The sequence below is a fragment of the Homo sapiens genome, chromosome 1 (assembly GCF_000001405.40).
Source record: "Homo sapiens chromosome 1, GRCh38.p14 Primary Assembly".
NCBI classification, from domain to species: Eukaryota; Metazoa; Chordata; class Mammalia; order Primates; family Hominidae; genus Homo; species Homo sapiens.
In genome coordinates this window covers 26,801,193-26,828,913 of record NC_000001.11, presented here as the reverse complement: position 1 = coordinate 26,828,913, position 27,721 = coordinate 26,801,193, and the positions used below count along the sequence as shown (strand labels likewise).

The 27,721-nt window shown below is 51.3% G+C and overlaps 1 protein-coding gene and 1 pseudogene across 1 annotated transcript in view, besides 5 other annotated features; both read right to left on the bottom strand.

The window, feature by feature from the left end:
• The window catches only part of ZDHHC18 (zDHHC palmitoyltransferase 18), a 30,917-nt gene extending 28,691 nt beyond the window's left edge, over positions 1 to 2,226 (bottom strand). The window contains exon 1 of the mRNA NM_032283.3: positions 1,775 to 2,226. Within this exon, the coding sequence (NP_115659.1) occupies positions 1,775 to 2,109 (335 nt within the window). The 5' untranslated portion in view covers positions 2,110 to 2,226. The remainder of the gene's footprint in view (positions 1 to 1,774) is intronic.
• Positions 1,959 to 2,168: a silencer, noted in NCBI's record as "silent region_493". NCBI's record gives its function as "represses an Ori minimal core promoter by ATAC-STARR-seq in GM12878 lymphoblastoid cells {active_cell/tissue: GM12878}" and the evidence as "EXISTENCE:reporter gene assay evidence [ECO:0000049][PMID:35858748]".
• Positions 2,179 to 2,328: a silencer, noted in NCBI's record as "silent region_492". NCBI's record gives its function as "represses an Ori minimal core promoter by ATAC-STARR-seq in GM12878 lymphoblastoid cells {active_cell/tissue: GM12878}" and the evidence as "EXISTENCE:reporter gene assay evidence [ECO:0000049][PMID:35858748]".
• Positions 2,179 to 2,444: a biological region, named in NCBI's record as "ReSE screen-validated silencer GRCh37_chr1:27152961-27153113".
• Positions 2,292 to 2,444: a silencer, noted in NCBI's record as "fragment chr1:27152961-27153113 (GRCh37/hg19 assembly coordinates)". NCBI's record gives its function as "represses an EF-1alpha promoter that drives an FKBP-Casp9 reporter gene in an ReSE screen in HepG2 liver carcinoma cells {active_cell/tissue: HepG2}" and the evidence as "EXISTENCE:reporter gene assay evidence [ECO:0000049][PMID:32094911]".
• On the bottom strand, positions 13,802 to 14,092 carry RN7SL165P (RNA, 7SL, cytoplasmic 165, pseudogene; annotated as a pseudogene).
• Positions 24,082 to 24,797: an enhancer, noted in NCBI's record as "H3K27ac-H3K4me1 hESC enhancer chr1:27130608-27131323 (GRCh37/hg19 assembly coordinates)". NCBI's record gives its function as "activates a minimal SCP1, AML or CMV promoter by ChIP-STARR-seq in primed H9 embryonic stem cells {active_cell/tissue: H9 hESC(primed)}" and the evidence as "EXISTENCE:reporter gene assay evidence [ECO:0000049][PMID:30033119]".

The following is a 27,721-nucleotide window of genomic DNA, read 5'->3' as shown; positions in this document are numbered from 1 at the left end:
AAGTACTGCTTCCTCCTGCCTCGGCTGCAGCCCTGGGTGTGGGGACTGAGAGGGCAGCCCAGGGGATACTAGAAAAGGCATTTCCAAAACACTCATGTGGCCAGCCCAGGGAAGTGGATCTGAAACTCAGCCCAGAGCTGAGCTCTGGGCCCCCCAGAGCTTCTGCTTGTAAATCATCCCTGAACTTTTTATCCACCCTACTCAAAAAAAAGGGCAGAGTGTGTGGTTAAAGGGTAAAGGGAGAAGCTAATTTATAGGAAGTCTTCACCTTGCTTCAAGGGGAAACCCAAAGTTGCAGATACATGATCTGGCAGCTAGAAAGGGTACCTGGGGGCGGGTGTCTCTATGATAGCCTTACCATGGCCACATGCCCTTGGGAAGTGTTTTTTGATAAAGACAACACAAGTACTAATAGCAGCCAACATAGTGTGCTTGTTACTGGGCTAAAAGCTTGCATGTGTGACCTCATGCCACCCTCAGGACAACCTTACGGGGTGGGTACTATTATAAATCCCATTTTACTGATGAGGAAACTGGGGCACTGAGGGGGTGAAGTGACTGCCCTGAGGTCACGCAATTAGTGGGTGGTGGAGCTGGGATTTGAACCAGGTCTGTTAGAGTTCTTAACTACACTGTATAATTAAGAGGAACAACCACAAAGGATGGGGAGTTGGGAGGGGACAGCAGGGCTTATGAAGCAAGGGTGGGTGGGTGGGCGTGTGAGTGTGTGTGCAAGGAATCACAGTGCAGGTGGCTCAGAGGTGGGTGGAAAACTTCTAATACAAATATATGACCCTCCATCCATAAAATGGAGATTATGTGTGGGCCAATCCTGGGTCACCGGGGGATATGAAGAGGACAAAAACCTAGGGGGGCAAATATGACCTGTCACACGAAAGCACTCCGAAGTCTTTCCTGAAAAACAACAAGGCACCGCAGCTGTTGCTGATGTGGAACAGGCCAGAGGGACGTTCCAGAATGTTGAGCAGGGAAAGAAAGCCAGGTGGTCAGCAGGGGGGCCAGGGGCCTGGGAGCCGGCTGGGTGGAGGCGGGCGGGATCTGAGGGAAGGACAGGAAGCTCTGGAGAACCTAAGGAAGGTTCTGGAGAAGGAAAGGGGGCCCGAGAGGCCCAAAGATTTTGAGAAAAGATGCCTTGGGGCCTAGGGTGTGCGTGGCTGAGGGGAAGCAAAAGCGGGGTTGGTGTCTGAGACTAGAGAAAAGGAGGGGACCCTGGAGGGACCCGGAGAGGGCAGCGAGGATGACTAGGATGTTTATGGTGGGTGTGCACAGCCAAAGGACACACAAGATCTAGAAGTGGTCAGGAAGGGATACAAGGGTCAGAAAGAACTTGGGGGGTTGGCAAGAGATGGTCCAGGGATGGGTGAGCAGGAGGGGCCTGTTCAAGAAGCCCTGGGGCAGGTTCTGAGAGGGCAGCGAGGATGGGGGCCGTGGAGGGGCATGGAGGCTGGTGTTCCTGGCAGTGGCAGGCAGACAGGTGCCAGGGTGGGGTCAGGGAGAATGGAGGGGCTGGGAGGGTGGAGGGCACCAGCGCGGATGGGGTACCCAAATGGACCAAGGAGGATGGGGCATCTGGCGGGGATGGGGGTGCGCAGGGGCCAGGGGGGCAGACAAGAGGCCCGAGGAGGATCCCAAAGGGGCGGGGAGGATGAGGACCAGGGAGGCGAAGGGGAAGGCACGGAGTGCCCAGCAGGGATTGGGAAGGTGGGGTGCGCGGCAGGGGGCTGGGAGGGGGCGCCGAGGCAGCGGAACTCACTCAAAGACGAAGAAGAGGCCGGTGGTGGTGAGGATGAGCAGCAGCGTGAGCGCGAAGACGCCGCCGTGGCCGGCCAGCATGAGGCGGCCGCCGCAGTAGAAGCGATTGCGACCCGGGAACACCTCCCACTTGCGCCGTGGGCGGCGGCCGAGGCTCCCGCTCCCGCTGCCGCTGCCGCTGCCGCTGCTGCTCCAGCGCGGCGGGGCGGGGGCGGCGGGCGGCGCGGGCCCGGGGCCCGGAGTCGGGGACGCGGCGGGGCCGGGACGGCGCGCCCCCGGGGAGGCGGGCAGCGGGGCGGCCCCGGGGCTGATCTGCTGGTACTCGCAGTCCTTCATGCAGCCAGCCGCGGGCCTCGGCTCCGCGCCCCGCGGGCCGGCCGGGCCACTCCGGGACCGGGCCGAGCAGCGGAGGTGGCAGCGGCGGCGCGCGCGGCGCTCGCTCGCTCACTCACTGGGGCGGCCCCGCCATCGCTCCGCCCCCGGCCCGCCGCCACCGCCCGCCGCGGCCTCCCGCCGCAGCGCCCCCTCCGCCTGGGCCCGGGATGGCGCTTGGCCGGAGGCCCAGCTCTGACCCGCGGCGGGGCCCCGCAGGTCCCCGGCCCTCCCAGTCTCCCTTTTCCCTTCTGCACAAAGAGGGGGCCAGCAGACGCGCACTCGAGGGCTCTTTCTGTTCTGCAAGCAAGCCGTTTGTTGGGCGTCCACTGTGTACCAGGCACGGTGCCAAACGCCGAGATTCAGGTGGTGGACTTCGTGATCTACTTCTGGCAGTCTGTAATTCCCCAGGCTTCGCCCATCTCTGAGGGTCGAACTGACAGGCATTTGCAGAGGCAGGCAGGCGCGGGGAGGTGGGGCACACGATTTGCTTTGAAAGCCAGGACCTCTTCTACCTTGAAGTCCAGAGTGCCCACTGGAGGTGTGTGGCACACCCTCTGGCCTCGTTCACCAAGTTCTGTGTCCTGGGCCCAGGCCCAGATTTTCCTAGGTAGCACATAATGTAGAGGGGTCATGCCTGAGGGCCCCAGTGTTTTTTCAGGAATTCTGGGAGTATTCATTTTCTACTGCTGTGTAACAAGTTACCACAAATTTAAGGCTTAAAACAAACATTATCGGCCGGGCGCGGTGTCTCACGCCTGTAATCCCAGCACTTTGGGAGGCCGAGGTGGGTGGATCACAAGGTCGAGAGAGACCATCCTGGCCAATATGGTGAAACCCCGTCTCTACTAAAAATAAAAAATTAGCTGGGCATGGTGGCACGGCATCTATAGTCCCAGCTACTCGGGAGGCTGAGGCAGGAGAATTGCTTGAACCCAGGAGGTGGAGGTTGCAGTGAGCCGAGATTGTGCCATTGCACCCGGCCTGGTGACAGAGCAAGACTCCGTCTCAAAAAAAACAAAAAACAAACGTTATCTAACAGGTTCCAGGTCAGGAGCCAGAGAACAGCTTAGCTGGGTCCTCTGCTTAGTCTCACAAGGCTGCAATCAGGCTGCATTCTCATCTGGAGACTCAGCCAGGGAAGAATCCACTTGCAAGCCCATTTGGGTTATTGGCAGAATTAACTTCCTTGCGACTGTTTAACTGAAGAGGGCCTGGGATTTTTGCTGGGTGACTGTATAACTGAGGAGGGCCTGGGATTTTTGCTGGGTGTCTGCTGGAGGCCTCTCTCAGGATCCAAAAGCCACCTGCAGTTCCTAGAGATTATCACATTTCCTTGCCATGCAGGTTTCTCCTACATAGCCACTTAGTTTCTTGAAACTGACAATGAGGGTCTCTAGCTCCAGACTATGATGATAGAGTTTTATATAACTTACTATATATGTGACAGAGTGGCATCCCATCATCATTGCCATCTCCTATGGTTAAAAGCAAAGCACAGGAGCCATCTGCACTCAAGAAAAGGGAATCACACAAGGCGTAAATACCAGGAGGCAGGAATCATTGGGGGTCAGCTTAGGGTATGTCTGTCACACTGTGGTTACTGTAAAACCTAAGGAAAAGTGCAAGGAAAAAAAGAACTGGAGACTAGGAGAAAGTAAAAAAGGAAGTAAAAATATACAATGGGGAGGAGTAGGAAGCCGACAACAGTGACCTTAAGGATCAATAATTGATATATATGCCAAAGGCTGCTCAGCCGTGCCTTTGGTGCCAAAGGCTCTCAATATGATGAGCCCCATCTTGAGCAAACCACATGGTGAGCTTCCTCCCTTTTTGCTCCTTGGCTGTGGAACAAAGTCACAAAACTAGACATACTGGTTCCAGTACAGATTCCTGTTGTCCCACCTTAACTGGGTCCTCTTGCAACCTGAAACCTTTTCTTTTTTCTCGTCACTTTACAGAAACCAAAGCAATCCTACTGGATTTTCAGTTTACCTCCTCTCTATCTCATAATTTCTCTTTATTTGCATCTGTCCTTTCTTCTTTTTTAGAAGATGTGGGCCTCCTTCTGTCCATGGCCAACCCTCCACTCATATCCTTATTTTATTTTATTTTTTATTTTTTTGAGATGGAGTTTCGCTCTTGTCACCCAGGCTGGAGTGCAATGGCATGACCTCGGCTCACTGCAACCTCTGCCTCCTGGGTTCAAGTGATTCTCCTGCCTCAGCCTCCCAAGTAGCTGGGATTACAGGCATGTGCCATCATGCCCGGCTAATTTTTGTATTTTTAATAGAGACGGGGTTTCACCATGTTGGCCAGGTTGGTCTCGAACTCCTGACCTCAGATGATCCGCCTGCCTCGGCCTCCCAAAGGGTTGAGATTACAGGTGTGAGCCACTGCACCTGGCCTCTTTTTTTTTTTTTTTTAAGTAAGGCTGATGGAACTCCATTTTATTTATTTATTTAAGCCCAATAGAACTCCAAACTCATGTCCTATCTCTCTTCCTGTTCATTAATACCGCAAACACATGCTCAATTCTACATCAATTAAAAAGCAAGGCTGGGCGCAGTGCTCACATCTATAATGTCAGCATTTTGGGAGGCCAAGGTGGGAGGATTGCTTGAACCCAGGAGTTCAAGACCAGCCTCAGCAACATTGCGAGATGCCACCTCTACAAAAATAATTAAAAATTAGCTGGACATGGTGGCATGCACCTGTAGTTCCAGCTACTTGGAAGGCTGTGGTGGGAGGTTTGCCTGAGTCCAGGAAGTCAAGGCTGCAGTGAGCTGTGATTACGCCACTGCACTCCAGCCTGGTGACAGAGCAAGACCCTGTCTAAAAAAAAAAAAAAAAAAAAAAGCCAGGCGTGGTGGCTCACATCCCAGCACTTTGGGAAGCCGAGGCGGGTGGATCACAAGGTCAGAAGTTCGAGAACAGCCTGGCCAACATGGTGAAACCTCATCTCTACTAAAAAAATACAAAAAATTAGCTGGGCATGGTGGCATGCGCCTGTAATCCCAGCTACTCGGGAGGCTGAGGCAGGAGAATTGCTTGAACCTGGGAGGCGGAGGTTGCAGTGACCCGAGATCATGCCATTGCACTCCAGCCTAGGCGACAGAGCAAGACTTCGTCTCGAGAAAAAAAGAAAAGAAAACCCTAAAAAACCCAATGGAGCTTCCCATGGTTGGCTACCTTCTCACCTTAGTTCAGATTTATCTTTCTCATTATCATTAGGATCATATTAAAGAGTTGCTACCAGGCAGGGCATGGTGGCACATGCCTGCCATCCCAGCACTTTGGGAAGCTGAGGCAGGCAGCTGGCTTCAGCTCAGGAGTTCGAGATCAGCCTGGGCATCATGGCAAAATCCCTCATCCCCTATGATTTCCTAACTTTTTACAAGTTGGCCCCTGTCTACATCACTCCCCTAAAACTTATCGTAAATGTCACCAATGAGCCATTTAATGTAGTATAAACCTCTTGTTCTCACCAATACCTATAGTTCCCGGCTTCTTTAACAGACAGATGTGGCCATGCGAATGAATTCTAGCTAGTGGAAGTGAAAGGTACTACTCCCAGGATGGCCCACAAATCTCCCAGGTGCTGATCCTTGCCCTCCTTCCTATCTGCTAGCAGAGTAGAGGAGATTCTGAGAACCTAGAAGAGGGTGGAGCCACAAGATGGAAGGAACTTGGGTCCCTGCATAATTGTGCAGAGCAGACCTTTCCTCTACTATGACTAACATATTAAACACTGAAGTGAGCAAGAAATACAGTTTTGTTATATAAGCCAATGAGTTTGAGAGGTTGTTTACTACAGCAATTAACTGATCCTTATTAATACAGAAAGTTGTATCAGGAGTGGGATGTCGATATAATAAAAACAAAAATATATGGCACTGAATTAATGGCCAGGCAGTGGATTACTGCCTGATCTTTAATTCAGTGCCATATACTAGATTAAGTAAACCAGGCTGGATGGCTGGAGATCTCTATTATGCTGTAGCAAAATATTTGGTAAAATTGTCATCTTCAATAATGTGGAAGGTAAATGCTATGCCCACTCACCCTGCAACTATAAGGGAAGGAGTTGGAAAGAATCAGAGTAGGATATGGTTGGCCACTGTTGGTGTCTGAATCAGTCAGACTCTAGTCAGGAGACAGAAACCATCCCAGTTGTTTGAACAGAAATAATTTAATATAAAGAATTGGCCAGGCACAGTGGTTCACGCTTGTAATCCCAACATTTTTGGGAGGCCAAGGCGGGAGGATCACAAGGTCAGGAGTTCGAGACCAGCCTGGCCAATGTAGTGAAACCCTGTCTCTACTAAAAATACAAAAATTAGCCAGGCATGGTGGCACACACCTCTAGTCTCAGCTACTCGGGAGGCTGAGGCAGGAGAATTGCCTGAACCCTGGAGGCAGAGGTTGTGGTGAGCTGAGATCGCGCCACTGCACTCCAGCCTGGGCAGCAGAGTGAGACTCTGTCTCAAAAAAAAAAAAAAAGAATTATTTGCAGCCTGGACAACATGGTGAAATCCTATCTCTATTAAAAAAAATACAAAAAAAAAAAATTAGCTGAACATGGTGGTGTGTGCCTGTGGTCCCAGTTACTCAGGAGGCTGAGGCAGAGGGACGGCTTGAGCCCAGCGGGGTGGACGTTGCAGTGAGCCATGATCACACCACTGCACTTCTAGCCTTGGCGACAGAGTGAGACCTTGTCTCAAAAAAAAAAAAAAAAAGAAAAGAAAAAAAGAAAAGAAATACTTGAACTGAGTTCCTTGAGCAAAATAAAATTATAAATAAATAATTGTCAATTTATATAAAAAGTAAGGGCTGGGCACAGTGGCTCACGCCTGTAATCCCACCACTTTGGAAGGCCAAGGTGGGAGTATTGCTTGAATCCAGGGGTTCAAGACCAGCCTGGGCAACATAGGGATACTATGTCCCTACAAAAAAATTTAAAAATTATCCAGACCTGGGCTGGGTGCAGTGGCTCACACCTGTAATCCCAGCACTTTGGGAGGCCGAGACAGGCGGATCACGAGGTCAGGAAATCAAGACCATCCTGGCTAACATAGTGAAACCCCGTCTCTACTAAAAATACAAAAAAATAGTTGGGCGTGGTGGTGGGCACCTGTAGTCCCAGCTACTCGGGAGGCTGAGGCAGGAGAATGGCGTGAACCCAGGAGGCGGAGCTTGCAGTGAGCCAAGATTGTGCCACTGCACTCCAGCCTGGGCGACAGAGCAAGACTCCATCTCAAAAAAAAAAAAAAATTATCCAGGCCTGGTGGTGTGCATCTGTAGTCCCAGCTGTTCAGGAGGCTGATGTGGGAAGATCACTTGAGCCCAGGATAACTGAAAGGTTACAGTATCGCAGAGGCAGTAACAGCAGGAAGCAGCTATGAACTCCTTGGCTGAGGGAACAAAGAAAATAGGTTGGAATTATTACAAATTAGAAGCTTAGAGCAGAAACTAAGGAAGAGGAAGAGTGCCAACCAGATTATGGTTTTTGTTTATTTTTTAAAGAGGTGGGGTCTTGCTATGTTGCCCAACCTAGAGGGCGGTGCCTATTTATAGGCATGACCTTAGCACACTACCAGCTTTGAACTCCTGGGCTCAAGCTATCCTTCCCCCTCAGCTTCCTGAGTGGCTGGTTCTATAGGTGCACACCACCGCATACAGCAATGCTGGTGTCTTTGAGGTGAGGCATGATAAACTTGGTTCTGCAATCAGAAATACCTGCAAACTAAAATCGGCTCTACTGCAGAAAAGTACTACTTCTGTCAGGGATGAAGGAGCACTGTTAGGTTCACTCATAGGAACTGAAAGTAATAGAAGGAGCCAATCTCTTCTTCCCTTCCAGCTCTGCGGTCTCCCTCTAGTGCCCCCTATTAGCAGAGCCAAACATAGATCTAGCTGGTAAAGCAGAAGTGTGTCTTGCAGAGCCCCAGCCTCAGTAACTCAAAGCTGAGTATAGACAGGCTGGTTTGGAGCTCAGGTAATAATATTGGGCACAGTCCACCTCTTTGGCTACTCAGTATCCACATGCACTTGCCTCTACATTATTATTATTATTATTTTTTGAGACTGAGTCTTGACGTATCTCCCAGGCTGGAGTGCAATGGCGCGATCTTGGCTCACTGCAACCTCTGCCTCCTGGGCTCAATTGATTCTCCTGCCTCAGCCTCCCAAGCAGCTGGTGCCCACCACCAAGCCCAGCTAATTTTTGTATTTTTAGTAGAGATGGGGTTTCACCATGTTGGCCAGGCTGGTCTTGAACTCCTAACCTCATGATCCGCCCACCTTGGCCTCCCACAGTACTGGGACTACGGGAGTGAGCCACCGCTCTTGGCCTGCCTCTACATTTTTGAACCTCCATATAACAAGGCAACTCCAGTCTTCCACCTAACAAAGTGCAACTATACAACTATCTTTTGTATAAGTACATTCTCACCCACTCCACCAAAATGAACAAATGTGGAATCTGTTTTTTGGAGACAGAGTCTTGCTCTGTCACTCAGGCTTGGAGTGTAGTGGCATGATCTCGGCTCACTGCAACCACTACATCCCAGGTTGAAGCGATTCTCCTGCCTCAGCCTCCCAAAAAGCTGGGACTACAAGCACACGCCACCATGCCCGGCTGACTTTTTTTTTTTTTTTAAGACAGTCTTGCTCTGTCACCCAGGCTGGAGTGCAGTGGCCCAATCTTGACTCACTGCAACCTCCACCTCCCGGGTTCAAGCGATTCTTCTGCCTCAGCCTCCTGAGTAGCTGGGACTACAGGCACGTGCCACCACACCCAGCTAATTTTTGTATTATTAGTAGAGACGGGGTTTCTCCATGTTGGTCACGTTGGTCTCAAACTCCTGACCTCAAGATCTGCCCGCCTCAGCCTCCAAGTGCTGGGATTACAGGCATGAGCCACCAACCGGCCTTTTTTTTTTTTTTTTTGGGATGAGTCTCGCTCTGTTGCCCAGGCTGGAGTGCAGTGGCGCGATCTTGGCTCACTGCAACTTCCACCTCCTGGGCTCAAGCAATTCTCTTCCCTCAGCCTCCCGAGCAGCTGGGATTACAGGCGTCCACCACCACACCCAGCTAATTTTTGTATTTTTAGTAGAGACGGGGTTTCAGCATGTTGGTCAGGCTGGTCTGGAACTCCTGACCTCAACTGATCTGCCCACCTCAGCCTCCCAAAGTGCTAGGATTACAGGCGTGAGCCACCTCGCCCAGCCAATTTTTTGTATATTTAGTAGAGATGGGGTTTTGCCATGTTGCCCAGGCTGGTCATGAACTCCTGAGCTCAGGCAATCTGCCCGCCTCAGCCTCCCAAAGTGCTAGGACTACAGGCATGAGCCACTGCGCCTCGCCAGAAATGCGGACTCTCAACAGTCATTCTATCTATCTCTGGGATATGTTTTTTTTTTTTTTTCCAAGGCAGAGGAATTTTTCTTAGTGCAGAACAAAATGAAAAGTCTCCCATGTCTACTTCTTTCTACACAGACACGGCAACCATCCGATTTCTCAATCTTTTCCCCACCTTTCCCGCCTTTCTATTCCACAAAGCCGCCATTGTCATCCTGGCCCGTTCTCAATGAGCTGTTGGGCACACCTCCCAGACGGGGTGGTGGCCGGGCAGAGGGGCTCCTCACTTCCCAGTAGGGGCGGCCGGGCAGAGGCGCCCCTCACCTCCCGGACGGGGCGGCTGGCCCGGCGGGGGGCTGACCCCCCAACCTCCCTCCCGGACGGGGCGGCTGGCCGGGCAGGGGGCCGACCCCCCCACCTCCCTCCCGGACGGGGCGGCTGGCCGGGCGGGGGGCCGACCCCCCCACCTCCCTCCCGGACGGGGCGGCTGGCCGGGCGGGGGGCCGACACCCCCACCTCCCTCCCGGACGGGGCGGCTGGCCGGGCGGGGGGCCGACACCCCCACCTCCCTCCCGGACGGGGCGGCTGGCCGGGCGGGGGGCCGACACCCCCACCTCCCTCCCGGACGGGGCGGCTGGCCGGGCGGGGGGCCGACCCCCCCACCTCCCTCCCGGACGGGGCGGCTGGCCGGGCGGGGGGCCGACACCCCCACCTCCCTCCCGGACGGGGCGGCTGGCCGGGCGGGGGGCCGACACCCCCACCTCCCTCCCTGATGGGGCGGCTGGCCGGGCAGAGGGGCTCCTCACTTCCCAGTAGGGGCGGCCGGGCAGAGTCGCCCCTCACCTCCCAGATGGGGCGGCTGGCCGGGCGGAGGGCTGACCCCCCCACCTCCCTCCCGGACAGGGCGGCTGGCCGGGCGGGGGGCTGATCCCCCAACCTCCCTCCCGGACGGGGCGGCTGGCCGGGCAGAGGGGCTCCTCACTTCCCAGTAGGGGCAGCTGGGCAGAGGCGCCCCTCACCTCCCAGACGGGGCGGCTGGCCGGGCGGAGGGCTGACCCCCCAACCTCCCTCCCGGACGGGGCGGCTGGCCAGGCGGGGGGCTGACCCCCCCACCTCCCTCCCGGACGGGGCGGCTGGCCGGGTGGGGGGGCTGACCCCCCCATCTCCCTCCCGGACGGGGTGGCTGGCCGGGCTGAGGGGCTCCTCACTTCCCAGTAGGGGTGGCCGGGCAGAGGCGCCCCTCACCTCCCGGACGGGGCGGCTGGCCGGGCGGGGGGCTGACCCCCCCACCTCCCTCCCGGACGGCACGGCTGGCCAGGCGGGGGGCTGACCCCCCCACCTCCCTCCCGGATGGGGCGGCTGGCCGGGCGGGGGGCTGACCCCCCCCCACCTCCCTCCCGGACGGGGTGGCTGCCGGGCGGAGACGCTCCTCATTTCCCAGATGGGGTGGCTGCCGGGCGGAGAGGCTCCTCACTTCTCAGACGGGGCAGCTGCCGGGCGGAGGGGCTCCTCACTTCTCAGACGGGGTGGTTGCCAGGCAGAGGGTCTCCTCACTTCTCAGACGGGGCGGCCGGGCAGAGACGCTCCTCACCTCCCAGACGGGGTCTCCGCCGGGCAGAGGCGCTCCTCACATCCCAGATGGGGCGGCGGGGCAGAGGCGCTCCCCACATCTCAGACGATGGGCGGCCGGGCAGAGACGCTCCTCACTTCCTAGATGTGATGGCGGCTGGGAAGAGGCGCTCCTCACTTCCTAGATGGGATGGCGGCCGGGCGGAGACGCTCCTCACTTTACAGACTGGGCAGCCAGGCAGAGGGGCTCCTCACATCCCAGACGATGGGCGGCCAGGCAGAGACACTCCTCACTTCCCAGACGGGGTGGCGGCCGGGCAGAGGCTGCAATCTCGGCACTTTGGGAGGCCAAGGCAGGCGGCTGCTCCTTGCCCTCGGGCCCCGCGGGGCCCGTCCGCTCCTCCAGCCGCTGCCTCCCGGGCGGCGCTCGCTGGCGCGGCGGCAAAGACTGAGACAGCTCCGCTGCCCGCTGAACTCCATCCTCCCGGCGGTCGGGCGGCGGCGGCTGCGGTCGGTCGCGGCAGCGGCTCCGCTTCATATCTGCAGCTGGGGCCCGCGGGCGTCAGCGCCGCGACTGTCCCGGCTCCGCACTGCCCTGGGATATGTTAATAACTCCTCAAAATCAGTCACTTTCCTGTCTGGAAATGCTATTACTTAAAACTGAATTGTAAAGTTAAACAAAATTTGCATAAAATAATAAAAGGAGAAGAGAAAATTATATACATGTATTTATTTATATATTTATATATGTGTATGTATAACTACAAATTATTTATAAATATATTCATCTTATATTTATTTTATAATTAAAAAAATTTTTTTTTGGTAGAGATGGGGTTTCACCATGTTGTCCAGGCTGGTCTTGAACTCCTGGGCTCAAGCAACTCACCCACCTTGGCCTCCCAAAGTGCTGGGATTACAGGTATGAACCACCATGCCTGGCCTATAATTATTACTTTTTTTTTTTTTGGAGGCAGAGTCTTGCTCTGTTGCCAGGCTGGAGAGCAGTGGCGCGATCTCGGCTCACTGCAACCTCTGCCTCCCAGGTTCAAGCAAGAGCCTCAGCCTTCCAAGTAGCTAGGACTACAGGCGTGTACCACCACGCCCAGCTAATTTTTGTATTTTTAGTAGAGACGGAGTTTCACCATGTTGGCCGGGCTGGTCTCTAACTCCTGACCTCAAGTGATCCGCCTGCCTTGGGCTCCCAAAGTGCTGGGATTACAGGTTTGAGCCACCGTGCCCAGCCGATTTACAGAATTTGGACCACCAGATAGTTCTCTGAAGTACCAGGCCCATGAGTTTTTGTGATATTTCCCTCCCATCCTTTATTTCATGTTTTATTAAGGCATCTAAAAGTACTTTCTACTTCTTTGTTACGTGCTAGGTCAAGATAATCAAGGTCTCTGTGGACTACATCATGACAGAGAACCAAGAAGTTGACACAAACTTCAGGCAAGACTGTGCAAGTGTACTTTGGGCTCTAAAATGTAAAAGCAAATGGCTTCTGGTCTTCCCTTCCCTCTGCTTCCCTTCCCTCCCCTTCCCTCCACTTCCCTCTCCTCCCCCTCTTCCTTCCTTTCTTTCCTTTCTCTCTCTCTCTCCCTCCCTCCCTCTTTCTCTTTCTTCCTTCCTTTCTTTCCTTCCTTCCTTCCCTCTCTCTCTCTCGCTCTCTCTCTCTTTCTTTCTTCCTTTTTTTGAGATGGAGTCTCGCCGCACTGTCACCCAGGCTGGAGTGCAGTGGCGCGATCTTGGCTCACTGCAACCTCCACCTCCCAGGTTCAAGCGATTCTCCTGCCTCAGCCTCCTGAGTAGCTAGGATTACAGGCACCTGCCACCACGCCCAGCTAATTTTTTTGTATTTTTAGCAGAGACAGCGTTTCACCATGTTGACCAGACTGGTCTCGAACTCCTGACCTTGTGATTCACCCGCCTCAGCCTCCCAAAGTGCTGGGATTACAGGTGTGAGCCACCGCGCCTGGCCTTCTTTCATTTTTTTTTTTTTTTTGAGATGGAGTTTCACTCTTGTCGCCCAGGCTGGAGTATAATGGCGCAATCTTGGCTCACTGCAACCTCCGCCTCCCAGGCTCCTGCCTCAGCCTCCTGCGTAGCTGGGATTACAGGCTTGAGCCACCTCTCCTGGCTAATTTTGTATTTTTAGTAGAGACGGGGTTTCTCCATGTTGGTCAGGCTGGTCTCGAACTCCTGACCTCAGGTGATCCGCCCGCCTTGGCCTCCAAAGTGTTGGGATTACAGGCATGAGCCACCATGCCCGGTGGCTCCTGGTATTTCTTACAAACTACATGGAGGAAAAAAATCATGTGCCAGGTCAACAGCTGAACACCAAATGCCAGGTGCACTGCTACAACTGGAACAGCAGCTGTAATTGGAGTTATTATTTGATAAAATTTATTATACTTTTTTTTTTGGAGACAGGGTCTTACTCTGTTGCCCAGGCTGGAGTGCAGTGGTGCGAACATGGATCAATGTAGCCTCGACCTCCTGGGCTCAAACAATCTTCCCACCTTAGCCTCCAAAGTAGCTGGGACCACACGTGTGTACCACCATGCCTGACTAGTTTTTAAATTTTTTGTAGAGACAGGATCTCCCTATGTTGCCCAGGGTGGTCTTGAACTCCTGGGCTAAAGTGATCCTCCTGCCTCAGCCTCCCAAAGTGCTGGATTACAGGTGTGAGTCACTGTGCCTGGCCACTTTTTTTTTTATGACAAGCACCAGGGTCTTACTATGTTGCCCAGGCTCAAATGCAGTGGCTATTTACAGGTGCTATCTCAGTATTGATCATCACAGGAGTTTTGACCTGCTCCATTTCTGACTTGGGCTGATTCACCCCTCCTTAGGCAAACTGGCGGCCCCTCGCTCCCAGGAGATCACCATATTGATGCCAAACTTAGTGCAGACACCCTATCAGAATAGTGCAGTATAGCTCAGAACTCCTGAACTCAAGCAGTCCTCCTGCCTCAGCCTCCTGAGTACCCGGGACTACTTTCATTCTCCAAGATCCAGTTGCCTTATTTATTGGCCAAACATGTGTGTTAAATAGGAAAATGACAGAATGCATCACCTTAGCATCTTTCAAGTCTTTGATGGTGACACTAATATCTGCAACTCCTCCAACGTATTAGTCAGCTAGGACTGCCAGAACAGAATGCCACAGGCTGGGTGATGTGAAGAACAGAAATTTATCTTGTCACAGTTCTAGAGGCTGGAAGTCCAAGATCAAGGTGCCAGCAGGGTTGGTTTACAGTGAGACCTCTCTATGGCTTGCAGATGACAGCCTTCTTACTCTATTTTCACATGGCCTTTTTTCTGTGCACAAATACTCTAAGTGTTTCTTCCTCTTCTTGTTTTTCTTTCTTTCTTTCTTTTTTTTTTTTTTGAGACAGAGTTTCGCTCTTGTTGCCCAAGCTGGAGTGCAATGATGCAATCTCAGCTCACTGCAACCTTTGCCTCCTGGGTTCAAGTGATTCTCCTGCCTCAGCCTCCCAAGTAGCTGGGATTACACGCATGTGCCACCATGCCCGGCTATTTATATATATATATTATATATATATAATTTTTTTTTTTTGAGACGGAGACTTGCTCTGTTGCCCAGGCTGGAGTGCAGTGGCGCGATCTTGGTTCACTGCAACCTCTGCCTCCTGGGTTCAAGCGATTCTCCTGCCTCAGCCTCCCGAGTAGTTGGGACTACAGGCGCATGCCACCATGCCCGGCTATTTTTTTGTATTTTTAATAGAGATGGGGTTTCACCCTGTTAGCCAGGATGGTCTCGATCTGCTGACCTCATGATCTGCCCGCCTTGGCCTCCCAAAGTGCTGGGATTACAGGTGTGAGCCACCGCGCCCGGCCTTAATTTTATATTTTTTTAGTAGAGACGGGATTTCACCATGTTGGTCAGGCTGGTCTTGAACTCCTGACCTCAAGTGATCCACCCACCTCGGCCTCTCAAAGGGCTGTGATTACAGGGGTGAGGCACCGCGCCCGGCCTCTTTCTCTTTTTAGAAAGACCCAAGTCCTATCGGATTAGGGTAGGCCCTATCTCTAGATACAGTCACATTGGAGGCTTAGGGCTTCAACATATGGATTTGTAGGGGGTGTGGAGGGTGGTCACAGTTCAATTCACAACACCCAGGTATGCAGTTTACTTCTAGTTTGCTGTCTTCACAGAGAGGGGGAAGGCCCAGAGGCATCTACTTGGCCTTTCCCACCATAAGGGCCCTTACTCTATGGGTCAGAGAGCCAACTGAACCCATGTTAGTTGTTAAATATGTCAATTCCACTTATAAATTCAGAAACTTGGGAGATAACCCCAAGATATGTCCAAAGAGGCCACCAAGAGCCCCTACTTTAACTGGTAGGCCACAGTGGCATTTTGGGTCCCCAGGAATTAGCATCAGTTCAGAGCCAATATTTAGTAATCCCCTAAAGGTCTGGATGTTTCCTTTTCCCCACCGCACAGTTGCTCTAGAAAAGGGTTATAGATGTTATGAAGAAAATTTGAGGGAAAATTTACCATATATATTTCGGCAGTGTTGCTGGGTCCTTTCTTAAGGGGACTTGGCCTCCCTTTCAATCAAGGGGCTCTAGGTCTGTTAACTGACTTAGGTCTAAAAACTGGATAAGAGGCCATGCTTCCCCATTGTTGGTGATTCAAATCTTATTTCTAGCCACTAGATTCTCACAAAGACTCTACTGCTCTTGATGGCAAATGCATCTACCTTGTCTTTGTCGGTTAAGCACTACTACTTGGCCTCTGATACTCTGAGATCCTCTCGTCTCCACTGAAACTAGGGAGCCCATCTCAATGGCAGAATTTCCAACTATCATTCTTGAATCACAGAGGAGAGTCCCCACAGAGCTTTCTGAGAATGCAGATGCTCCCCTCACCAATACATTTCTCAATGCTGGGGTGAACAGAGTGTCCTCTGGGCCCTCTTGGGAGACAGAGAGGACACAAAGTTCACATAGATAAATTTATTACAACATTCTTTTCTCTCTGGTCCTTTGAATTTTGTCCTCTCCAGTGAATTCTCCCCATCTTAGCCTCATTAAACATAGGTACTAGCTGGGCACAGTGGCTCACATTTGTAATCCCAGAACTTTGAGAGGCTGAGGCAGGTGGATCGCCTGAGCCCAGGAGTTTGAGACCAGCCCAGGCAACATGGCAAAATCCCGTCTCTACAGAAAAGACAAAAATTAGCTGGGCGTGGCTGGGTGCGGTGGCTCACGCCTGTAATCCAGCACTTTGAGAGGCAAAGGCGGGTGGATCACCAGAGGTCAGGAGTTTGAGACCAGCCTGGCCAACATGGTGAAACCCCGTCTCTACTAATAATACAAAAATTAGCCAGGTGTGACGGTGCATGCCTGTAACCCTAGCTACTTGGGAGTCTGAGGCAGGAGAATTGCTTAAACCTGGGAGGTGGAGGTTGCAGTGAGCTGAGATTGCGCCATTGCACTCCAGCCTGGGCGACAAGAGTGAAACTACATCCAAAAAAAAAAAAAAAAAAATTAGCTGGGCGTGGTGGCACACGCCTGTAGTCTCAACTACTCAGAAGGCTGAGGCAGGAGGCTTGCTTGAGCCTGGGAAGTCGAGGCTGCAGTGAGCTGAAATTGTACCAGCCCGGGCATCAAAGCAAGACCCTATCTCAAAAATAAATACATAAATAAAATAAAATAACAGAAATAACATTAAGTCAGATTTTCAGTCAACCAACCAAGTAAGCCATTAGAGCCACTTGCAGCTATGTGAAGTAACACTTTAAATTCAGAATCTCTGACAAGTGCATACACATCAATACATTTGGCTCAGTCCTGTGTTATATTTCATCCTTATAGGTCTAACATTCTAAGAATCCACTCCCATGTGTATTCCCCAGATTTCTGTCTATATGTCAGCAAAATCTTGAAATGATTGTGATGTGTAAGTTATTTCCTTCTGAGTCAGATTTTCTACTTGCCTCCTTGGAGAATGCTGAGATTGCATCCTAGTTGTGGGTCTGGTGGCAACAAGGGGTGGCTTGGGTGGATCTTGGGGAGAATGGCATATCTTTGCAAGGTATATATCCTGCCCCAGAAGTTATTACAAGATTTTTCAAGCAAGGGAAGCCAGGTTTCCTGAGACACAAGTCAACAAGATGCTTCTACTAGCAAAAGAAGCTCAAAGAGAAGGATAAATCTAAGATTTTCACATTTGTCTGAGTCAAATCAGATGTCCTTATTCCAAGTTTCAGGGTCCTACTCCTGAATCACAGGAAAGACTTAGTTAAACTGAATTCAGCTGATGGAATTCTGCAATATGCACAATTTTCATGTTTTATTTGTAGCAAATCAGTCTGGTGGCTACAGGAAATAAGAGATTATTTTATGGCTATTAGAGAAGCCCTACAGTTCTCTGACCACGAGTTCAGCTGAGAGTTTAAAGACCTGAGCTGGTAATTTTTTTTTTTTTTCCTGCAAGGCCCATGATGCAACTGGAAGAATCGGTCCCATATCATAGTCCCTATAGTCATTATCACTGCCATAACAGTTAGTGCAACCACCATTTGGGCCCCCGAGACACTTCCTTTGGTTGGCACTTCATCACAAATAACCACAGGCGATGATTTCATTAATTATGAGGCCACAGCATGCTATGGATCACATTCTCATTGGCAAGGAGCTCAGCACATTCAAACCCAATGACACAGCCAAGCTGATTTCCTAATCCCATCTTTTGGGGTCTTTTTCCTGGGGCCACTCCTAGTACCAATTTCTGTATCAGTCAGGGTCCAGGCAATGAGAGAGAAACCACATCAGTCACTGACAGAGAGAATTTAATATAAAGAATGGTTAGAATAGTTAACTAGGAATAAATTGTTAACTAGATAACTCTAAGGGTAAAAAGAAAACTAAGATATCATGGAGGCAGCAATAGACAGCAAGAAGCATCTGTAACTCCTCGGGCTAAGAGTACAAAGGCAAGAGTTTGGAATTACTCAAAGTTAAAACCTTAGAGGAGGGCCTCTGCAGAGCTGAAACTCGGACCTCTAAGTCTGATGCTCCATCTAGTCTTTGAGCTTGAAGAACTCAGACCTCTGAAGACAGGATACTACCCAGCTGGTGCTGGTGTCTCTGAGTGGAACACAATGGAACTGGTTTGGCAATTGTTGGGAAAAACTACAAAGTGGATTCAGCAGCTGCTACAAGAAGGACCTGCTACTGTCTGGGTAAAGGAGTGTTGCCAGAGTGACCCTTACAGGAATAGGAAGCAAAAAGAAGAGTCCCAGCTGGGCGCGGTGGCTCACACCTGTAGTCCCAGCACTTTGGGAGGCCGAGGCAGGCAGATCACCTGAGATCAGAAGTTCGAGACCAGCCTGGCCAACATGGCGAAACCCTGTCTCTACCAAAAATACAAAAATTAACCGGGCGTGGTGGCGGGCGCCTGTAGTCCCATCTACTCGGGAGGCTGAGGCAGGAGAATCACTTGAATCCAGGAGGCAGAGGGTTGCAGTGAGCCGAGATTGTGCCACTGCATTCCAGCCTGGGTGACGGGAGGGAAACTCCATCTCAAAAAAAAAAGTGTCCCTTCTTCTTCCTCTGGCTTCACTGTCTCCCTCTGGTGGCCCTTATTGGGAAAGCCAAACACAGAGCCTACCCAAGCAAAAACGTGATTTTCAGAGCCCCAGCTCCAGTATCTCATTGTAACGAATATGTGGGTGGGTTTGGAGCTGAGAGACAGTAACTTAATAACTAGCACTGTTTTTTTTTTTTTTTTTTTTTTTTTTTTTTTTTTTTTTGAGACAGAGTCTGGCTCTGTCTCCCAGGCTGGAATGCAGCGGCCCGATCTCGGCTCACTTCAACCTCCGCCTCCTGGGCTCAAGCAATTCTCCTGCCTCAGCCTCCCGAGTGGCTGGGACTACAGGCGTCCGCCACCACGCCCAGCTAATTTTTGTATTTTTAGTACAGACGGGGTTTCACCATATTGGCCAGGTTGTTCTCGAACTCCTGATCTTGTGATCCGCCCGCCTCGGCCTCCTAAAGTGCTGGGATTACAGGCGTGAGCCACCGCGCCCGGCCCTAGCACTGTTGTCTTTATAAAGTATTCCAAGAAAGAGGTGAGTTTAGGTGAGAATATGCTGGATTTCAACAGAAATAGAAAATAGAGAAAGAACAAAGATCATAGGTCTTTCAGGGTTGGAAAAGCTGACTGCTTCTGGACAACAAATAGTACAAAGTAAGATAGAAAAGGTTTTAGGGCAGGGCGCGGTGGCTCCTGCCTGTAATCCCAGCACTTTAGAAAGCCGAGGCAGAAGATCACTTGAGCCCAGGAGTTCAAGACCAGCCTGGGCAACATAGAGAAGTCCTGTCTCTACAAAAAAAATCAAAAATAAAAATTAGCCAGGCATGTTGGAGCATACCTATACTCCTAGCTACTTGGGAGGCTGAGGCAAGAAGATCACCTGAGCCCAGGGAGGTGGAGGCTGCAGTGAGCTGTGACTGTACCACTGCACTCCAGCCTGGGCAACAGAGTGAGACCCTGGCTCAAAAAAAAAAAATAAATAAATAAATAGAAAAGGTCTTGAACAACATGAATTTAAATATGCAATCTTTTTTTTTTTTTTTTAAAAACCACTGTCTGGCTCTGTTGCCCAGGCTGGAGTGCAGTGGCGCAATCTCAGTTCACTGCAACCTCTGCCTCCTGGGTTCAAGTGATTTTCATGCCTCAGCCTCCCAAATAACTGGGATTACAGGCACGTGCCATCACACCCAGCTAATTTTTGTGTTTTTAGTAGAAATGGGGTTTTGCCATGTGGCCCAGGCTGGTCTCAAATTCCTGGACTCAAGTGATCAGCCTGCATTGACCTCCCAAAATGCTGGGATTACAGGCATGAGCCACTGTGCCTGGCCTAAGGATGCAATCTTTCTAAGGTAAATACCAGGTTAAGAGTGTGGCCTGCATGGCCAGGTGCAGTGGTGGCATGTGCCTGTAGTTCCAGCTAATTAGGGGGCTGAAGTAGAAGGATTGCTTGAGCCTGGGAGGTTGAGGCTGCAGTGAGCTGTGATCACACCACTGCACTCCAACCTGGGTGACAGCATGAGACCCTGTCTCAAAAACAAAAAAAAAAAAAAGCAAAAACTATAAAACTCTTAGAAGAAAACATAAGGAGAAAACTGCATGACATCAGATTTGGCAATGATTTTGAAAAGGCAACTCACAGAATAGGAGAAAATTTTGCAAATCATGTATCAGATAAGGGATTAATACCTAAAATATATAAAGAACTCCAACAACTCAACAACAATAAAAAAAAACAAAACCCCAAAACAGGTAAGGTTAGGAATAGATATTTCTCCAAAGACATACAAGTAGCCAATAAGCACATGAAATGATACTCAATACCACTAATCATCAGGAAAATTTAAATCAAAATACCACTTTACACACACCAAGGTGGCTAGAATTAAAAAACAGAAAATAACAAATGTTGGTGAGGATATACAGAAATTGGGACCCTTTTGCATTGCTGGTGGGAATGTAAAATGCGCAACTGCTGTAGAAAAACAGTATGGCCATTCTTCAAAAAAGCAAACATGGAACTACCATATAATCCAGCAATTCTACTTCTGGCTGTATACACAAAAGAACTGAAAGCAGAGATTTGAACAGATATTTTTATATCTGTTATATAAAATATTCATAACAGCACTATTCATTATAGCCACAAGGCAGAAGCTATCCAAATGACCATTGACAGATGAATGGATAAACAAGATGTACTACAATGGAATATATGCAGCCTTAAAAAGAAATTCTGGTGGCCGGGCTCGGTGGCTCACACCTATAATCCCAGCACTTTGGCAGGCTGAGGTGGGCGGATCACGAGGTCAGGAGATCGAGACCATCCTGGCTAACACAGTGAAACCCCATCTCTACTAAAAATACAAAAAAAAAAAAAAAATTAGCCAGGCGTGGTGGCAGGCACCTGTAGTCCCAGCTACTCAGGAGGGTGAGGCAGGAGAATGACATGAACCCGGGAGGTGGAGCTTGCAGTGAGCCGAGATCGCGCCAGTGCACTCCAGTCTGGGCGACAGAGCGAGACTCCGTCTCAAAAAAAAAAAAAAAAAAAAAGAAAGAAATTCTGATGCAAGCTACAATATGGATGAACCCTGAAGACCTTATGCTAATTGAAATAAGCCAGACACAAAAGGACAAATATTTTATGATGCCACTTATATGAGGTACCAAGAGTAGTCAAGTTTATAGAGACAGAAAATAGAATGGCAGTTGCCAGGGGTTGGAGAGCAGGGGGAATGTGAAGTTATTGTTTAATGGGTACAGTTTCAGTTTGGGAAGATAAAAAAGTTCTGGGCTGGGCATGGTGGCTGATGTCTGTAATCCCAGCACTTTGTGAGGCCAAGGTGGGTGGATCACTTGAGGTCAGGAGTTCAAGACCAGCCTGGCCAGCGTGGCAAAACCCTGTCTCTACTAAAAATACAAAAAATTAGCTGAGTGTGGTGGTGGGCACCTGTAGTCCCAGCTACTCGGGAAGCAGAGGCAGGAGAATCGCTTGAACCCAGGAAGCGGAGGTTGCAGTGAGCCAAGATCGTGTTACTCCACTGCAGCCTGGGCGACAGAGCAGGACTCCGTCTCAAAAAAAAAAAAAGTTATGGAGATAGGTAGTGGTGTTAGTTGCACAACAATGTGAATGTACTTAATGCTACAGAACTAACACTTAAAAAGTTAAGATGGTAATTTTGTTAGATACATTTTAGTGCACATACATACACAGTCTGACTAGTTGAGACTTAAAATAACTTTAGGCTCCCTTGTTTTCACCAGTAGGAAGTGGCTTGGTGACACCTGAGCATTCTCCAAGGAGAATGGTCATAATTCGCAAAGGAGAAGGTCATAATCCCCAAAGCCAATCTCAGATGTGGCCATGAAGAATAATCAACAAGGAAGAAGTCAGGCCTGTAGTAGTTGTGTGCCTGTAGTAGTTGGGGCTACTTGGGAGGATAAGGTAGGCAGATTGCGTGAGTCTAGGACTTTCAGGCTGCAGTGAGCTATGATCCTGCCACTGCACTCCAGCCTGGACAACAGAGTGAGACCCTGTCTCTTCAAAATAAAATTTTAAAAAGGCAAGGAAGAACTTCCTAGAAAGTCACATCCAGGAGCCATGGAGTACAATGGACAAAAGAGTCCATCCCAGGCCGGGTACAGTAGCTCACGCCTGTAATCCCAGCACTTTGTGAGGCCAAGGCAGGGGGATCACGAGGTCAGGAGTTCGAGACCAGCCTGGCCAACATAGTGAAACCCCGCCTCTATTAAGAATATAAAAATTAGCTGGGCATGGTGGCGCATGCCAGTAGTCCCAGCTACTCGGGAGGCTGAGGCAGGAGAATCACTTGAACCCAGGAGGTGGAGGTTGTGGTGAGCCAAGATCGCGCCACTGCACTCCAGCCTGGGCAACAAAGCGAGTCTCAAAAACAAAACAAAACAAAACAACAACAACAACAAAAAAGTCCATCCCATAACAAAAACAAGGTCTAGGCTGGGTGTGGTGGCTCATGCACATAATCCCAGCACTTTGAGAGACCAAGGCAAAAGGATTACTTGAGGCCAGGAGTTCAAGACCAGCCTGGGCAACATAGCGAGACCTTATCTCTATAAAATATGGCAAAAATTAGCCAGGCGTGGTGGAACATGCCTGTAGTCCCAGCTACTTGGGAGGGGCTGAGATGGGAGAATCCCTTGAGCTCAGAAGTTTGAGATTACAGTGAGCTATGGTCACACCACTGCCTTCCAGCCTGGGCTGCCTTCCAGCCTGGGCAACAGAGTGGACCCTGTCTCTAAAAAAAAAAAAAAAAAAAAAAAAAAAAAAAAAAAAAAATCAAGTTCTAATCCAGGAACTCCCTGCAGTCCAGGGACGGGGACTTTGACCTACCTGAGCAGTGGGAATTCAAAACTGTTTTGGACCAGTGACTGTGGCACTTCTTCCATGCTTTCCTTTTCTGACTGGGAGTTTGTATTGAGGCTATCCTTTTCTTGCTCTACCAATGTATACTGGGTATGTTTGTGAAGTGCAGATACCTTGCTTTTTCAGTTCACAAATCACCATAAGGAACCACACTGAAGCTGACTGAGAGACTCTGAGCTGAATACAGTGACTAGATGGGATTTGGGGCTATTTCCCCTGGGCAAGGGTAAGTGTATTCTGTGAAGAGAAACAGGTATTTGGCTCAGAAAGGCAGACTGTAACATACAATTATCTGTGTTCTCTTCTTGAACTCACAGCCAGACTTCACTTCCCAGTAGGGCTACCAGATATAGCAAATAAAAATACAGGATGCTGGTTACATTTGAATTTCAATTAAGCAAGGAAGAAATTCTTAGAAGTACGTCCCAAGCAATATTTGGAATGTAATTATACTGAAAAATAACTTGTTTACCTGAAATTCAAATGTAACTGGGCATGCTGTATTTTATCTAGGAACCTACTTCCCCACTCCTTTGCGGTTAGACATGGCCATGTGACTAAGTTCTAGCTAGCAGAATGGAATGATGTGCTGACTCTTCCAGGCTGGCTCCTTAAAACTTTTCCGGGAGTAGCCGGGCACGATGGCTCACACGCCTGTAATCCCAGCACTTTGGGAGGCCAAGCCGGGTGGATCACGAGGTCAGGAGTTCGAGACCACCCTGGCTAATACAGTGAAACCCCGTCTCTACTAAAAATACAAAAAATTAGCCGGGCGTGGTGGCAGGCGCCTGTAGTCCCAGCTACTCTGGAGCTGAGGCAGGAGAATGGCGTGAACTCAGGAGGTAGAGCTTGCAGTGAGCAGAGATCGCGCCACCGCACTCCAGCCTGGGTGACAGAGCGAGACTCCGTCTCAAAAAAAAAAAAAAAACACCTCCCGTCTCCCTCTCCCTCTCCCTCTCCCGTCTCCCTCTCCCTCTCCCGTCTCCCTCTCCCTCTCCCGTCTCCCTCTCCCTCTCCTTTCGACGGTCTCCCTCTCATGCCGGGCCAAAGCTGGACTGTACTGCTGCCATCTCGGCTCGCTGCAGCCTCCCTGCCTGATTCTCCTGCCTCAGCCTGCCGAGGGCCTGCGATTGCAGGCGCGCGCCGCCACGCCTGACTGGTTTTCGTGTTTTTTTGGTGGGGACGGGGTTTCGCTGTGTTGGCCGGACTGGTCTCCAGCTCCTAGCCGCGAGTGATCCGCCAGCCTCGGCCTCCCGAGGTGCCGGGATTGCAGACGGAGTCTCATTCACTCAGTGCTCAATGGTGCCCAGGCTGGAGTGCAGTGGCGTGATCTCGGCTCGCTACGGCCTCCACCTCCCAGCCGCCTGCCTTGGCCTCCCAAAGTGCGGAGATTGCAGCCTCTGCCCGGCCGCCACCCCGTCTGGGAAGTGAGGAGCGTCTCTGCCTGGCTGCCCATCGTCTGGGACGTGAGGAGCCCCTCTGCCTGGCTGCCCAGTCTGGAAAGTGAGGAGCTTCTCTGCCCGGCCGCCATCCCACCTGGGAAGTGAGGAGCGCCTCGTCCCGGCCGCCATCCCATCTAGGAAGTGAGGAGCGTCTCTGCCCGGCAGCCCATCGTCTGAGATGTGGGGAGCGCCTCTGCCCCGCCGCCCCGTCTGGGAGGTGAGGAGCGTCTCTGCCCGGCGCCCCCCATCTGAGAAGTGAGGAGACCCTCCGCCTGGCAACCGCCCCGTCTGAGAAGTGAGGAGCCCCTCCGCCTGGTTGCCACCCCGTCTGGGAAGTGAGGACCGTCTCCGCCCGGCAGCCACCCCGGCGGGGAGGGAGGTGGGGGTCAGCCCCCCGCCCGGCCAGCCGCCCCGTCCGGGAGGGAGGTGGGGGGCTCAGCCCCCCGCCCGGCCAGCCGCCCCGTCCGGGAGGTGAGGGGCGCCTCTGCCCGGCCGCCCCTACTGGGAAGTGAGGAGCCCCTCTGCCCAGCCAGGAGCCCCTCTGCCCAGCCAGCCGCCCCGTCCGGGAGGGAGGTGGGGGGGTCAGCCCCCCGCCCGGCCAGCCGCCCCGTCCGGGAGGGAGGTGGGGGGGTCAGCCCCCCGCCCGGCCAGCCGCCCCGTCCGGGAGGGAGGTGGGGGGCTCAGCCCCCCGCCCGGCCAGCCGCCCCGTCCGGGAGGTGAGGGGCGCCTCTGCCTGGCCGCCCCTACTGGGAAGTGAGGAGCCCCTCTGCCTGGCCAGCTGCCCCATCCAGGAGGGAGGTGGGGGGCTCAGCCCCCCGCCGGGCCAGCCGCTCCGTCCGGGAGGGAGGTGGAGGGGGGGGTCAGCGCCCCCTCCCGGCCAGCCGCCCCGTCTGGGAGGGAGGTGGGGGGGTCAGCCCCCCGCCTGGCCAGCCACCCAGTCCGGGAGCTGAGGGGCGCCTCTGCCCGGCCGCCCCTACTGGGAAGTGAGGAGCCCCTCTGCCCGGCCACCACCCCGTCTGGGAGGTGTACCCAACAGCTCATTGAGAATGGGCCATGATGACGATGGCGGTTTTCTGGAATAGAAAAGGGGGCAAGGTGGGGAAAAGATTGAGAAATCGGATGGTTGCCGTGTCTGTGTAGAAAGAAGTAGTCATGGGAGACTTTTCATTTTGTTCTGTACTAAGAAAAATTCTTCTGCCTTGGGATCCTGTTGATCTATGACCTTACCCCCAACCCTGTGCTCTCTGAAACATGTGCTGTGTCCACTCAGGGTTAAATGGATTAAGGGCGGTGCAAGATGTGCTTTGTTAAACAGATGCTTGAAGGCAGCATGCTCGTTAAGAGTCATCACCACTCCCTAATCTCAAGTACCCAGGGACACAAACACTCTGCCTAGGAAAACCAGAGACCTTTGTTCACTTGTTTGTCTGCTGACCTTCCCTCCACTAGTGTCCTATGACCCTGCCAAATCCCCCTCTGTGAGAAACACCCAAGAATGATCAATAAAAAAAAAATTAAATTTAAAAAAAAAAAAAAAAACACTTTTCCGGGAGTAGAGGACTCTAAGGAGCTAGAGCAGGACAGTCACAAAATGGACAAGACTGGGTCCCCAATAATTGGGCGGAACAGACCTCCCTTCCTAAACCTGCACTAGACTATGAAGTAAAAAAGAAAGGAACTTTTATTATTAAGCCACTGAGTTTTGGCGGTTGTTTGGTATCGCCGTTAGCCTACCTTGGATAATATCCCTAATCCCTAAATTCAATAGTTTTTCTCATCCTTTCCTTAACAGTATATGACCCTGCTAACCATTTCTTTCTTCTTGAAACTTTTTTCTTGAGACAGGGTCTCACTGTCACCCACATTGGAGTGCAGTGGTGTGATCACTGCTCACTGCAGCCTTGACCTCCTGGGATCAGGTGACCCTCCCACCTCAGTCTCCCGAGTAGCTGAGACTACAGACGCCCACCAGGATACCTGGCTAATTTTTGTATTTTTTGTAGAGATGGGGTTTCACCATGTTGCCTAGGCTAGTCTCAAACTCCTGGGCTCAAGCGATCCACCTACCTCAGCCTCCCAAAGTGCTAGGATTACAGACATGAGCCACTGTGCCTGGCCTTGAAACTCTCTTTTCCGCCAATGATACAATTTGTTTCTGGTCCTTTAATGATAATAATGATAATACAATAGCTACCATTCATGAAGTTCTTGCCATACAGGCACTGTGCTAAGTGCTTTATCTTCATGACTGCCCATGTGGTAGATGCTATCACCCCCACTGTAGATGAGAAAACAGGCTTAGAGAGGTTGAGCCACCTACCCAAACTCTTTTTTGTTTTTTGTTTTTTTTTTGAGACAGAGTCTCACTCTGTCGCCCAGGCTGGAGTGCAGTGGCACAATCTCGGCTCACTGCAAGCTCCGCCTCCTGGGTTCACGTCATTCTCCTGCCTCAGCCTCCCGAGTAGCTGGGACTACAGGTGCCCGCCACCACACCTGGCTAATTTTTTGTATTTTTAGTAGAGACTGGGTTTCACTGTGTTAGCCAGGATGGTCTCGATCTCCTGACCTCGTGATCCGCCTGCCTCTGCCTCTCAAAGTGCTGGGATTACAGGCGTGAGCCACCGCGCCCAGCCAACCTACCCAAACTCTTACAGCCCCTCTCTCTTCTCTCTCCACACTCTTTTTTTGACAATCCCATCCAACAGCATGGCTGCTGTAATTACCGTGTCTGTGTGCATGGTTCCCTGACCACTCTCTTGGTCTCCAGTTCCACATTTCCTGGCACATAAATGTGCTGCTTGGTATCGTAAACCCAACATGTCCAAAATGCAGCTATTGCTTTGTTAGCACTGTTCTCAACACTTTTCATATGGTAACATTTAATTCCCACCACCACCCTATGAGATGTTATTATTCTTTTATCTATGAGCTAGATATTATTATCTACATTTTACAGATGAGTAAACTGAGGCTTAGAGAGTCAGTATCTGGCTCAAGTTTACACAGTTAGTACACAGTAGAGCTGGGCTTGGGGCTGATTTCAAGGCCTAGATTAAGACCTCAGCTCCATTCACACTGGTTTCTCCCTGTCCTATCCTGTTCCATTTCCTGCCTTCTATATTCATTCTGTACCCTGAACTTTCAAATCCTCCCTATCATTCAAAGTCTAGCTCAACTATCATTGGTCCATGAAGTCTTTTCAGGTATCCCAAGCTGGAAGGGATCTCCATC